The following is a 15087-nucleotide window of genomic DNA, read 5'->3' as shown; positions in this document are numbered from 1 at the left end:
CTATTGTGGTAAAATATACATAACATAAAATTTACCACCGTAGCTATTTTTAAGTGTACAATTCAGTGGCATTAAGTATATTAACATTTTTGTGACCAATTAGCTTTTGGGTTGTCTTTCTCCTAGCTGAAATTCCCTCCCTGGTATACAGCCCTCAATATCTCTGCTTGTATTGCCCTCAGAATGTCATTTCAAGAAGAATAATTAGTCCTATTCTTTCCTTGGTAGAGTATATTGCTAATATATTATAGAGTATATTATATAGAGTATATTGCTAAATTTTACCACCGCATCCTCATCTGAATGGACACGTTTGTTACATCTTGTTGATTATATAAAAGTGTTTGCTAATGACTTAGATAATAAATGGTCTTCTAAATGTTTTACACACACAAGCACACACTCCACAAAATGCTATGATATGATGCAGAGGTATATATCTTAGATTTTTTCACTCAAAATATATTGTAAACATGGTTTGTCATACTTCTACAATATATACTTTAATGGCTGCATAGTATTCCATAATGCAGATATACATATGTAATTTAACCAGTTTATTGATGGATGTTTAGTGTTCAACATTTTTATATTCCAAACAGTACACTTTCAAGTAAATCTTTGTACATGTTAAACATATTTATTTTTGTTAAAAATAATTATCATGAGATCAGGAATTTTAATTCTTTTTCTATTAATTGGCAAATTGTCTATCAGAAAGTTTGTTCTGCTTTGTTAACCCTACCATAAGTGAATTAAAGTAGTAATCATCCTAATCTTTGTTAACTTTGAATATTTTAATCTTGACATTTTTTGTTAAGCAGGCAAGCACAATTATTTTAATTTGATTTATTTAAGAATTAATTAATTTGGAATTTTTTAACTTTCTAGTAGCCACAGGTTTTTTTACATGAATTAATTATTCATAGTTTAGCCATTTTTTCATACTTATAAATCTATATATAAATTATTTTATCCAATTGAGAATCATGTTTATTGCAATTATTTTTAATTTATTTTTATTTATAGTGTTTTTAAGTATATATAAGTGTATGTTTTAAGTCTTGAGCTCTTTCAACCTTTTGTTAGTAGTTTCCACCTTTCAAGTAATTCTTAGGAGTCGATTCCCATTCAAATTCAGATACAGATACATATTCACATAGAATTTTGCTATTGGTCTCATATTTTTATAAATGTTTTTGATATTAAGTTTTTGATGCTTTGGTTGATATTGCATTGAGTGGAGATATAGTAATCTCTAAGGACAAAGACTAGATTAAAATATTTATGGCAAAGCTGGTAATGAAACAAGCTCATAAGGAAATAACAACATTTAAGGAAATACATCATTCTATATCTGGAACAACTGCCTCAAGAGAGTTAGGTTTGGTCCTAATGAATCAAAGCAAATACCAAATGAAGATTAATCATTGTTATCAGGGCAAGAGAAAGGGGCTTTGTATATCTTGGTAACTATTGAAACTGGAAAGGCTATCAGTACAAATTCACAACAGTATGATAAAGCATAGAATTTTCTCTGTAGGAATTATTATTCCAGACATTAAGAGTCTCTCTAACCTCTCCATACTCTCTTCCCTGCTCTAATCACTCCAGTCTTTCTGGTCTCCTTACTCTTCCACAAACAAGCCAAGAATGCTCTCACTTCAGGGCCTTTGCACTGGTTGTTCCCTTTGCTTGGGACACTCTTTCATAAGAAAATGACATGGTTCACTCAGTCTCCTTCAAGCTTTTGTGCAAAGTCCCCTTCAAGCTTTTTTACTTCTTATTTAGGCCTACCCTAATCACCTTACTGAAAAGTGCAACTTCTCTTCACCTAGCTCTTTTGTTACCCCCTCCTGCTCCAGTACTCTTTTTTTCATCTAATTTATCTTATGCTGTAGTTTAAAGATGGCCACTGTGTTAGTCTGTTCTCATGCTGCTAATAAAGACATACCTGAGACTGGGTAATTTATAAAGGAAAGAGATTTAATGCACTCACAGTTCCACATGGCTGGGGAGGCCTCACAATCATGGTAGAAGACAAAGGAGAAGCATGGAACGTCTTACAAGGTGGCAAGCAAGAGAGCATGTGCAGGGAAACTCCCCTTTATAAAACCATCAGATCTCATGAGACTTATTCACTGTAATGAGAACAGCATGGGAAAGACCCACCCCAGGATTCAATTACCTCCAACCAGGTTCCTCCCATGACATATGGGAATTATGGGAGCTACAATTCAAGATGAGATTTGGGTAGGCACACAGCCAAACCATATCAGCCACAAATTATACAATTCATGTCTTTATTATATTTATTATGTATTGTAGGTGTTTCTCCCAGTTAGAAGGTAAGCTCCATGGGAGCAGGAGTCTTGGTTTTATTCATTAGCAGGTTTTCTATTATTTTCTACATGGTAGTTAAAGGTTTTTATTTTATAGAAAGAAAATTATTATTAATCTAACTGATTGATGCCCTTAAATAGTATTTTTGATGTTTTAAATTAAGTGGTTTTAGTTTATGACAATAATGTATAGATTCATTTGATAGTAATAAAGTATATATTTTCTTATATATATATGTGTGTGAGAGAAGCCTTAATTATGATTTCAATTATAAAATATTGCTTTTGAAACTTGTCATAATTTTTGTTTTAAAAAATATCACTTTTATATTTGTCAGACAAGTAAAGAATTTAAAAGAGCATTTTGTTTTACAGAACCATGTACTGTTAATGTGGATTACATGAACAGAAATAACATAGAAATGAAGTGGAAATATGAAGGGAAAGTCTTACATGGAGATTTAATAGATTTTGTATGTAAACAGGGATATGACTTATCTCCATTAACCCCATTGTCTGAATTATCTGTGCAGTGCAACAGAGGAGAAGTGAAATATCCTTTATGTACTAGAAAAGGTAAAATAATAATGTTCTCTGCAAGTATCTTTACTTGACCAATATCTGCTACCTCGGTTGAAAATTTATTTATAGTTTGTTGCTATTTTTCTTATTATTATTCTTTTTAATTTTGTTTTATTTTATTTTATTTTACTTTGAGTTCTGAGACACAAGTGCAGAATGTGCAGGTTTGTTACATGGGTATACGTGTGCCATGGTGGTTTGCAATTCCAGTAATGGAATTGCTGCGTCGAATTTCATTTCTGGTTCTAGGTCCTTGAGGAATCACCACACTGTCTTCCACAATGGTTGAACTAATTTACATTCCCATCAGCAGTGTAAAAGCATTCCTATTTCTCCCCAGCCTTACCAGCATCTATTGTTTCTTGGCTTTTTAGTAATTGCCATTCTGACTGGTGTGAAATGGTGTCTCATTGTGATTACACCTTATACAAAAATTAACTCAAGATGGATTAAAGATTTAAATGTAAAAACCCCAAACCATAAAAACTCTAGAAGAAAACCTAGGCAATACCATTCAGGACATAGGCATGGGCAAATACTTAATGACGAAAATGCCAAAAGCAATTGCGATGAGAGCCAAAACTGACAAATGAGATCTAATTAACCTAAAGAGCTTCTGCACAGCAAAAGAAACTATCATCAGAGTGAACAGGAAACTTACAGAATGGGAGAAAATTTTTGCAATCTGCCCATGTGACAAAGGTCTAATATCCAGAATCTACATGGAACTTAACACAAATTTACAAGAAAAAAACGAACAACACCATCAAAAAGTAGGCAAAGGATATAAACAGTCACTTCTCAAAAGAAGACATTTATGTGGCCAACAAACATATGAGGAAAAAGCTCAACATCGCTGATCTTTAGAGAAAATTTATACCTATGACCCCAATTCACCACCATCATATTCTAATCTATAAAGTTGAGAGGAGTGATCCAACTTCCAAACTTCAATCAGCATATATACCTATATAGGATGGCCATGCTGACATCTTTTAATTCCAATAAGTCAATTTTATGAAGGGAAAAAATCAAGAGGTTTTATAAATGTTGCCAGACTATCAGAGAATTGATCACCTTCTTGTGAGCACTCAACAACAAACACTGTAAAGCATTGCTCTACTTAGGGCTTTCTGGGGACCCATTGTCTCAGTACTCACTGGCTATAGGGACTATTACTTTTAATAAGGAAGAAAAGGAAAATAATATATACAGAAATCATGGCTTCTAGAAAAATCCCATATACACTTAGGGAGAAATAAAATCATGATTGTTAATACTCTCATAGTTTTAAATATGCATGTAAACACTATAACGTGGGATTCTAATTATAAAAATACATTGTATGGTATAATATTATTGCAAAAACATCTTCAATATTTTAAAAATATTTGAGAACTGCCTAAAAAATGGCTTTATGGCTAGGTGCAGTGGCTCACGCCTGTAATCCCAGCACTTTGGGAGGCCAAGGTGGGCAGATTTCTTGAGCCCAGGAATTCAAGACCAACCTGAGCAACATAGTGAGACCCTGTCTCTACAAAAGAAAAATGCACCTGTAGTCCCAACTAGTTGGGAGGCTAAGACAGGAGGATCACTTGAGCCTGGGAGGCAGAGGTTGCAGTGAGTCATGATCATGCCACCATACTCCAGCCTGGGTGACAGAGGGAGACTCTGTCTCTGTAGCACTTATAAAGTACTGGATGTTCATTATAGCAATTCATTGTATACTTTAAAACTTATTTTTGCAGAATCTAAAGGAATGTGCACATCTCCTCCTCTTATTAAACATGGAGTCATTATTAGTTCAACAGTAGACACCTATGAAAATGGCTCTTCAGTAGAATACAGATGTTTTGATCACCATTTCCTAGAAGGATCTAGGGAGGCCTATTGTTTAGATGGAATGTGGACTACACCACCATTGTGTTTAGGTATGTACTACTAAATATGCCTCTAACAAAGTAAAACTATATATTTTTAATTTGCTGTCATTTTTGAGTTAACATAACACTAATATAATGCTATATTTGCTACATTTGTGTTATTTTATTCATGTGCTTATTTTATCACTGCTTTCTATTCTTTCCTCTAGATCATAAATACCTATAGTTCAGTTTGTTGTAATACATATTTTTTTAAAGACAAACCACACATCAGGTTGGTATGGGCTATAAGTTGAATAAGCCATAGTGGTGTGAGTAAACTTTAACAATTATCATTCATTGTGATTGGTACTATAATAGAAAACATTAGGGAAACATGTATAATAGAAAACAATGCGGAAATAAAGAAATGGACAACTCAATATGGAAAGATGAAGCAAGTTAATGTTTTATTAGCAAGGCATCCTAGTAAGAGTAACAACATTTACTAAGGCCCTCAGAGGCATGAAATAGCACATCTGTAAATAATAAGAAAATATTTTTTATTTCCAATTCTGACTTTTATTTACTTCTCTTATCTTCTTTCACTGGCTAGGACTTCAGTACAATGTTGAATGGAAGAGGTAGTGGATATCTTTATTTGCTTCCCATTCTCATAAGTAAAACCTTTGATAATTCACCTCTATGTGTTGTTATAAATATTTTTTTAAAAATCAAGTTAAAGGTATAAAAACCTTTCTTTCTATTTTGCCGAAAGTATTTTTAAAGAATCTTCAATCTGTGTTTAATTTTTAGCAATATCTGTTGAAATAATTACATAATTATTACTTTTGTTTTTTCCCCTGCAAATTTAATGAATTATATTGCTTCTTTTGAATGTTAAAGCATGATTCTATTCCCATAAGAAATTCCACAAGGTTGTGATAAATTATGCATATTATATGTTATATTTTTATTTATCAATATTTTACTCATCTATTTTCATGAGAAAGACTGGTTGGTTATTTTCCTTTCTGGTTTGATATCAAGTCTGTGCTGACCTCATCCCATGAATGGGAAGTGTTCCGTCTTTTCTGGTTCTCTGGATTGATGCTATTTCTTCCTTTATAATTTTAAGAGTTAACCAGAGAAGCCATCTGGGACTTGAGTTTTTCCGTGAAAAGACAAATTGACAGCTTCGATTTGTTTAACAAATAATGGTAATTATTTCTTCTTCTGTCAGTTTTGGTAGGGAGTGGTTTCTTGATGGTTCATTACAACTACATTGTCAAATCTACTAACATAAAGTAGTTATGACATCTTCCTATCCTCTTTTTGATGTTTTTATTGATGTATCTTTTGTTATTACTTCTATTAATATGTATCTGTCTTGACATGCCTTGCTAAGGGTCTATACATTTTATTAGTGTTTTCAAAAAACCAACATTTGCATTTGTTGATTCATCAAATTTTGCTTTCTATTTTATTAATTATGCTATTATCTTTATTATTTCCTTTCTTCTATGTTCTTGGATTTCTTTTGTTACTCTTTTTCTGGCTTGTTTAGATGAATACATAGATTACTAATTTTCAGCATTTATATTTTTTCTAATACATGAATTTAAAAATAGAAATTTCTCTCTGAGCACAACTTTAACTTCATCCAAACCATTTTTATATCTTGGATTTTTACTGTCATTCAGCTCAAAAATTTTATAGTATTCATTTTGATATATTCTCTGTGCTCTGAATCATTTAGAAGTTTCTTTTTAAAGTTCTGAATATTTAGGGGATTTTCTAGTTTTCTTTTGGTTACTGATTTCTAGTTTAATTCAATTAAGACATACTTTGAATTATATCTGCACTTTAAAATTTGTTGATATTTGCTTTATAACAAGCATGTATTTGCTTTAGGTAAACGTTCTTTTCATACTTGAAAAAAGTTAACTTTGTCATTGTTGGGTTCACTGTTTTATATATGTGAATTGGATTGAGTTTTGTTTTTGATGTTTAAGTTAATCCAAAGCTGTACTGATTTGTGTGTGTTTGTTTTCTATCAATCACGGAGAGAAGCATGTTAAAGTCTCACTTGGCATTTTAAAACATTACTAATTTTAGTTCTGTCCATTTTTGCTTTTGTATTTTGATACTATTTCATTAGGTACACACACAAATTGAGACACTAAATCTTCGTATCTTGGTGTATTGGCATTGTCTAATTTTAAAAGACCTCCTTCATATATAGTAATGCTTTGCCTTTTTTTTTGCCTTGAGGTCTCCTTTAGCTGCACCAAGGGGCTTTTGACAAGCATTCATGTAGTACACATTTTTCCATCCCTTAACTTTCAACCTTCTGGGTTTTTACTTTTAGTGTGCCTCTCTTATAAGCAATATATACCTTATTTTAAAATATACTTATGCAGTTTATAATTTTTTCCCTTGTAATGGAATAGTCTATTTACATATTCATGTAATTACTAATATATTTCTGTTTATACCTACCAACCCTACCAACTTTCTATACTAGGTGTATGTTACTATACTCCATGTATATCCCATTGGTCATCTCCCTCTTTCTCTCTCTCTCTCCATATAGGTGTGTGTGTATATATATATACACATATATATATATAATATTTTAAGTTCTAGGGTACATATGCACAATGTGCAGGTTTGTTACATAGGTATACATGTGCCATGTTGGTTTGCTGCACCCATCAACTCTTCATTTACATTAGGTATTTCTCCTAAAGCTATCCCTCCCCCAGACCCCCACAGACAGGCCCTGGTGTTTGATATTCCCTGCCCTGTGTCCATGTGTTCTCATTCTTCAACACTCACCTATGAGTGAGAACATGCAGTGTTTGGTTTTCTGTCCTTGTAATAGTTTGCTTACAATGATGGCTTCCAGCTTCATCCATGTCCCTGCAAAGGGCATGAACTCATCCTTTTTAATGGCTGCATAGTATTCCATGGTGTGTATGTGCCACATTTTCTTAATCCAGTCTATCATTGATAGACATTTGGGTTGGTTCCAAGTTTTGCTATTGTGAATAGTTCTGCAAAAAACATATCTGTGCATTTGTCTTTATAGCAGAATGACTTATAATCCTTTGGGTATATACCCAGTAATGAGATCACTAGGTCAAATGGTATTTCTAGTTCTAGATCCTTGAGGAGTCGCCACACTGTCTTCCACAATGATTGAACTAGTTCATACTCCCACCAACAGTGTAAAAGCGCTCCTATTTCTCCACATCCTTTCCAGCATCTGCTGTTTCCTGACATTTTAATGATCGCCATTGTAACTGGAGTGAGATGGTCTCTCATTGTGGTTCTGATGACCAGTGATGATGAGCATTTTTTCATATGTCTGTTGGCTGCATAAATGTCTTCTTTTGAGAAGTGTCTGTTCGTATCCTTTGCCCACTTTTTGATGGGGTTGTTTTTTTCTCGTAAACTTTTTAAGCTCTTTGTAGATTCTGGATGGTAGCTCTTTGTCAGATGGATAGATTGCAAAAATTTTCTCCCATTCTGTAGGTTGCCTGTTCACTCTGATGATCGTTTCTTTTGCTGTGCAGAAGCTCTTTAGTTCAATTAAATTCCATTTGTCTATTTTGGCTTTTGTTGCCATTACTTTTGGTGTTTTAGTCATGAAGTACTTGCCAATGCCTATGTCCTGAATGATATTGCCTAGGTTTTCTTCTAGGGTTTGTATGGTGTTAGGTCTTACATTTAAATTTTTAATGCATCTTGAGTTAATTTTTGTATAAGGTATAAGGAAGTGATCCAGTTTCAGCTTTCTACATATGGCTAGCCAGTTTTCCCAACACCATTTATGAAATAGGAAATCATTTCCCATTTCTTGTTTTTGTCAGGTTTGTCAAACATCAGATGGTTGTATGTGTGTGCATTATTTCTGAGGCCTCTGTTCTGTTCCATTGGTCTATATATCTGTTTTGGTACCAGTATCATGCTGTTTTGGTTACTGTAGCCTTGTATTATAGTTTGAAGTCAGGTAGCCTGATGCCTCCAGCTTTGTTCTTTTTGCTTAGGATTGTCTTGGCAATGCGGGCTCTTTTTTGGTTCCATATGAATTTTAAAGTAGTTTTGTCCAATTCTGTGAAGAAAGTCAATGGTAGTTTGATGGGGATGGCATTGAATCTATAAATTACCTTAGGCAGCATGGCCATTTTCACGATATTGATTCTTCCTATCCATGAGCATGGAATGTTCTTCCATTTGTTTGTGTCATCTTTTATTTCGTTGGGCAGTGGTTAGTAGTTCTTGAAGAGGTCCTTCACATCCCTTGTAAGTTGGATTCCTAGGTATTTTATTCTCTTTGAAGTAATTGTGAATGGGGGTTCACTCATAATTTGGCTCTCTGTTTGTCTATTATTGATGTATAGGAATGCTTGTGATTTTTGCCATTGATTTTGTATCCTGAGACTTTCCTGAAATTGTTTATCAGCTTAAGGAGATTTTGGGCTGAGACGATGGGGTTTTCTAAATATATAATCATGTTATCTGCAAACAGGGACAATTTGAATTCCTCTTTTCCTAATTTAATACCATTTATTTCTTTCTCTTGACAGATTGCCCTGGCCAGAACTTCCAACACTATGTTGAATAGGAGTGGTGAGAGAGGGCATCCCTGTCTTGTGCCAGTTTTCAAAGCAAATGCTTCCACTTTTTGCCCATTCAGTAAGATATTGGTGGTGGGTTTGTCATGAACAGCTCATATTATTTTGAGGTACATTCCCTCAATACCTTGTTTATTGAGAGTTTTTAGCATGAAGGGCTGTTGAATTTTGTCGAAGGCTTTTTCTGAATCTATTGAGATAATCATGTGGTTTTTGTCATTGGTCCTGTTTATGTCATGGATTATGTTTATTGATTTGTGTATGTTGAACCAGCATTGCATCCCAGGGATGAAGCCATCTTGATCGTGGTGGATAAGCTTTTTGATGTGCTGCTGGATTTGGTTTGCCAGTATTTTATTGAGGATTTTCACATCGATGTTCATCAGGAATATTGGTCTAAATTCTGTTTTTTGTTGTTGTTGTGTCTCTGCCAGGCTTTGATATCAGGATGATGCTGACTTCATTAAATGAATTAGGGAGGATTCCCTCTTTTTCTATTGATTGGAATAGTTTCAGAAGGAATGGTACCAGCTCCTCTTTGTACCTTTGGTAGAATTCGGCTGTGAATCCATCTGGTCCTGGGCTTTTTTTGATTTGTAGGCTATTAATTATTGCCTCAATTTCAGACCCTGTTATTGGTCTATTCAGACATTCAACTTCTTTCTGGTTTAGTCTTGGAAGGGTGTATGTGTCCAGGAATTTGTCCATTTCTTCTAGATTTTCTAGTTTATTTGCATAGAGTGTTTATAGTATTCTCTGATGGTAGTTTGTATTTCTGTGGGATTGGTGGTGATATTCCCTTTATTATATTTTATTGCATCTATTTGATTCTTCTCTCTTTTCTTCTTTATTAGTCTTGCTCTCAGTCTATGTAGTTTGTTTATCTTTTTTAAAAAAACAGTTCCTGGATTCATTGATTTTTTTGAAGGGATTTTTTGTGTCTCTATTTCCTTCAGTTCTGCTCTGATCTTAGTTATTTCTTGCCTTCTGCTAGCGTTTGAATGTGTTTGCTCTTGCTTCTCTAGTTCTTTCATTGTGATGTTAGGGTGTCGATTTTAGATCTTTCCTGCATTCTCTTGTGGGCATTTAGTGCTATAAATTTCCCACTACACACTGCTTTAAATGTGTCCCAGAGATTCTGGTACGTAGTGTCTTTGTCCTTACTGGGTTCAAAGAACATCTTTATTTCTGCCTTCATTTCGTTATTTATCTAGTAGTCATTCAGGAGTAGGCTGTTCAGTTTCCATGTAGTTGTGCAGTTTTGAGTGAGTTTCTTAATCCTGAGTTCTAATTTGATTGCACTGTGGTCTGAGAGACAGTTTGTTGTGATTTCTGTTCTTTTTCATTTGCCAAAGAGTGTTTTACTTGCAGTTATGTGGTCAATTTTGGAATAAGTGCAGTGTGGTGCTGAGAAGAATGTATATTCTTTTGATTTGGAGTGGAGAGTTATGCAGATGTCCATTAGGTCTGCTTGGTCCAGAGCTGAGTTCAAGTCCTGGATATTCTTATTTACCTTCTGTCTCGTTGATCTGTCTAGTATTGACAGTGGGGTGTTAAAGTCTCCCATTATTATTGTGTGGGAGTCTAAATCTCTTTGCAGGTCTCTAAGGACTTGCTTTATTAACCTGGGTGCTCCTGAATTGGGTGCATATATATTTAGAATAGTTAGTTCTTCTTGTTGAATTGATCCCTTTACCATTATGTAATGGCCTTCTTTGTCTCTTTTGATCTTTGTTGGTTTAAAGTCTGTTTTATCAGAGACTAGGATTGTAACCCCTGCTCAGCAATAGTAGACGACCCTCCCCCCATAACGCTGTCGTGTCACAGGTTGATCTCAGACTGCTGAGCTAGCAGTGAGCAAGGCTCCATGGGCGTGGAAACTGCTGAGCCAGGCAAGGGAGGGTATCTCCTGGTCTGTCGGTGGCTAAGACCTTGGGAAAAGCACAGTATTTGGTCAGGAGTGTACCATTTCTCACTGTGCTGCCCAGGCTGGAGTTCCTTAGAAACAAATCAGAAACAAATCTCTCCCTCTCTCTCTTTCTCTCTCTCTCTCTATATATATATAAATATATATATATATGAGTTAGTTCCAAGATGGCCGAATAGGAACAGCTCCGGTCTGCAGCTCCCAGGGAGATCAGTGCAACACAATGAGACTCTCTTTGTACATTTTGTTCTTCAAGTTAGTAGCATTCCTTGAACCTTGATGTACTTGATATCCTTCATGGGTTTTAGAAATGTTTGGCTAATATCTTTTAAAATGTACATTTCTCACCTCTTCTGTGATGCCATATTACATATATTACATCTTTTTGCTATGCCATTGTCTCTTTAAATCTATATTTTCTCTCATTTTCTTCTTGTTTCACTGTAGTAATTTTTTGGTAATTTTCTCATTGTATCATTTCTTTGTTTCTATTTGGTAATTTTCTTCTAGTTTAACAATCCTCTCTTTAGATGTATCCAATCTGCTTTAAACTCATCTTTTGAGTTCTCAATTTCAGTTATCATCTTTGCATTTCTATTTTATATTTTCTTTTTGTAGATTTGAGTTATCTGATGAAAGATCCTAGCTTAACATCAACTTCTTGAACATATAATTCATACTTTTTATTAAGGCTTGTCTGCAAACTCCAATATCTGGATCTATTTTTTAGCCCCAAATTCTTGATATTTTTGTTAACAGTTGATTGAATTCCAAATATTATACGTGGAAAATTTCAGGATGTTTGGATGATGTCAGCTTACTCCAAAGAAGACTCATCTCATCCTCTGGCTGATGATTAGTGTAGAGGCAGTTGGTTTTAATACAATTAGAAATAAAGCTTTCTCTATGTTTGTTTTCAGACCTCTGTTTGCCTTTTCTCACAGACTGTAACTCTCCAGGGCTCTTTACAGAGGGTTTGTTGTGTGTATTAAAGCTTTTTCTCCTTGACTGTCTCTGATATTACTGGGAGACTGCCAAATGCCCACTGTAACTTTTTATTTACTTTCTGCTTGGCTTCTCATCCTATGCCTCTATACAAGTCAAGGATAAGCAGTACCTTAGGGAAAAGCTAGTGCAGAGCCTCAAACTCATATCTCTACACTTCCTATCCTTCTAAATTCTTTATTCTTCAAGTCCTGGCTGCTTTGGTTTACCGAAATTCTCATTTTTCTATCTTCAACTCCATGAGATTTTCAGAAGTTCTGCTGGCTGTATGCCTAAGCTTACCATTCTCTATCATCTAACCTCTCAGGTCAGACTTAGAGTCAACAAACACCTCAAGAGAAAAAAATGGCACATAGAATTTTTTTTTTTTTTTAGACAGTCTCCTTTTGTTGCCCAGGCTGGAGTGCAGTGGTGCGATCCCTGCTCACTGCAACCTCCACCTTCTAGGTTCAAGAGATTCTTCTGCCTCAGCTTTCCCGAGTAGCTGGGATTACAGGTGCATGCCACCATGCCCGGCTATTTTTTTTTTTTTTTTGTAGAGATGGGGTTTCACCATGTTGGCCAGGCTGGTCTCAAACTCCTGACCTCAGATGATCCGCCCGCCTTGGCCTCCCAAAGTGCTGGGATTACAGGTGTGAGTCACCACGCCCAGCCTCACATAGATGTTGAACTCACCTGAATACATTTTTTCCAGAACCTTACTTCCTTGACTAAGTTCCTTGGAGGTTTTCTGATACCTCGAAATGCTTCCTGTTTTTCAGATTTTCTGGTTCTTAATAGAAGTGCTGGTTTGATATAATCTCCTCTGTCATAGCTGAAAGTTAAAGGTCCATGAATCAACTTTTAAATTTATTTTAATTTAAATCTCATGTTCTGTAGAACAGTGACATCGTAAATTATAGTGCTATTCGACTTCATTTTCACAACTATTTTGTAATGAGTGTAATAATTCTTGTTCATTTTCATCACCTGTAGCACTTCCAGCATAATGTTTGACACATAGGCATTTAATAAGTAGTTGTTGAAGAAAGTAACTGAACACAGTGCTCTCAGCTGCGGTTTCACTTTCTGTGGTTTCAGTTACCTGCTATAAACTGCAGTCTGAAAACGTTAAATTGAAAATTTCAGAAATAAACAACTTATAAATTTTAAATTATGCACTTAGTAGTATAATAAAATTTCATGCCATTCCATCCTTCCTGCCCCAGATATGCTAAAAAGAAGCTGTAAAGTGCTTCCTTTAAGTGAAAGGGCGGAAATTCTTAACTTAAAAAGAAAGGAAAAATAAATGTATGCTGAGGTTGCTAAGATCCATGGTAACAATGAGTCTTCTGTCTATGAAAGTGTGAAGAAGGAAAAAGAAATCCATGCTAGTTTCGTTGTTGCACCTCAAACTGCAAAAGTTACAAGCCACAGTGTATAATAAATGTTTAGTTGAGGTGGAAGAGGCATTAAATTTGTGGGCAGAAGACATGAACAGAAACATGTTCCAAAAGAATGACAACAGGGTTTAGCATTATCTGCGGTTTCAGGCATGCACTGGGGCTCTTGAAATGTATCCCCTGTAGGCAATCAGGGAGGGGCATACTGTAAGTAAGTTTGTTAATGTACTACAGGTATATGATTGATATGCCATATTAGCAACTCTGGACCTTTTTACCTGTCTCAGAAGTTATTCCTTAATGCTAGGTCATCCAGGAGACAAATAAGGACATAAGAAATCCCATTTTCTGAAATAATTTGATATTTGATATTTTAGAAATATTAATGTTTTTATTCTGTAAAAAAAATCGAAGAGGTTTTTTTGTGTATTTTAATACATACTTTACCATTCTCTTTGGTTTACGATACATGGGAAAGGACACAACTATACTTTGTATGCTTAGAATTTAAAACGTCTTAATCCAGTCTTGATATTTCTTAACTAGAAATTTGAAAGAGAAGTAACTGTCAACCATTTTGGATGGCATGAGGTTATAAAGCTTGGGTCAGTGTTGAGAATCTACATTTCCATAAAATGTTATTTATACAGCAATTAATAATTTGTCTCATGAGAATTTTATTTGAACTTTCTGAAGAAGGAAAAGGGAAAAGAGCATGATATCAATGACCATTAGTAACTGTCAATGCTTCCCCCCAAATACCTTTTTGTTTGTTTGCTATCTTTGAAAAAGCTAATGACATAAAACTAAAATACCTTTTAGTTTTTAAAACTGGAAGAAAATACCTTTTCTCCAAATCCAGGACCACAGAGAGAAATGGCTCACTGTTTTCTGTGAGATTTGAACATATTTTCTGACTCAAATATTAATTCTGATTAACTGACTTGCTGCTCTTAGGCCTGAGAATTTTAAGGTCCTCATGAGTAGGCAACACAACGATTCCTGTTCTTACCAAGATGTAACAAGATAGTTTTCTTCTTTTTCTTTCTTTTTTTTTAAATTGTTGTTCCCAGAGCCATGCACATTATCTTTTACTGAAATGGAAAAGAATAATTTACTTCTGAAATGGGATTTTGACAATAGACCACACATTTTGCATGGTGAATATATTGAGTTTATTTGTAGAGGAGATACTTATCCAGCTGAATTATATATTACTGGATCTATACTTAGAATGCAATGTGACAGAGGGCAGTTAAAATATCCAAGATGTATTCCAAGACAAAGGTAAGAAGTTTTTTTTTTTTGGTCAGATTATTTTTTTTGGTCAGATTGTTATTCAAC

At 34.6% G+C, this 15087-nt stretch overlaps 1 protein-coding gene across 7 annotated transcripts in view; it reads left to right on the top strand.

The window, feature by feature from the left end:
- The window catches only part of F13B (coagulation factor XIII B chain), a 28520-nt gene that overhangs the window by 11709 nt on the left and 1724 nt on the right, over window positions 1-15087 (top strand). For 5 of the 7 annotated variants that reach the window (XM_047449422.1, XM_011509284.3, NM_001994.3 and 2 more), the window contains exons 9-11: window positions 2718-2918; window positions 4673-4855; window positions 14817-15030. In XM_047449422.1, coding sequence (XP_047305378.1) covers window positions 2718-2918; window positions 4673-4855; window positions 14817-15030 — 598 coding nt within the window. Of the gene's footprint in view, window positions 1-2717; window positions 2919-4672; window positions 4856-9381; window positions 15031-15087 lie in introns of those variants that run through there. The other 2 variants (XM_047449423.1, XM_047449424.1) reach the window with 2 other exon arrangements.

Source organism: Homo sapiens, chromosome 1 (assembly GCF_000001405.40).
Source record: "Homo sapiens chromosome 1, GRCh38.p14 Primary Assembly".
Lineage (NCBI taxonomy): Eukaryota > Metazoa > Chordata > Mammalia > Primates > Hominidae > Homo > Homo sapiens.
Note: the sequence above shows the minus strand (reverse complement) of the source record. Positions and strands in the feature narration are given on the sequence as shown.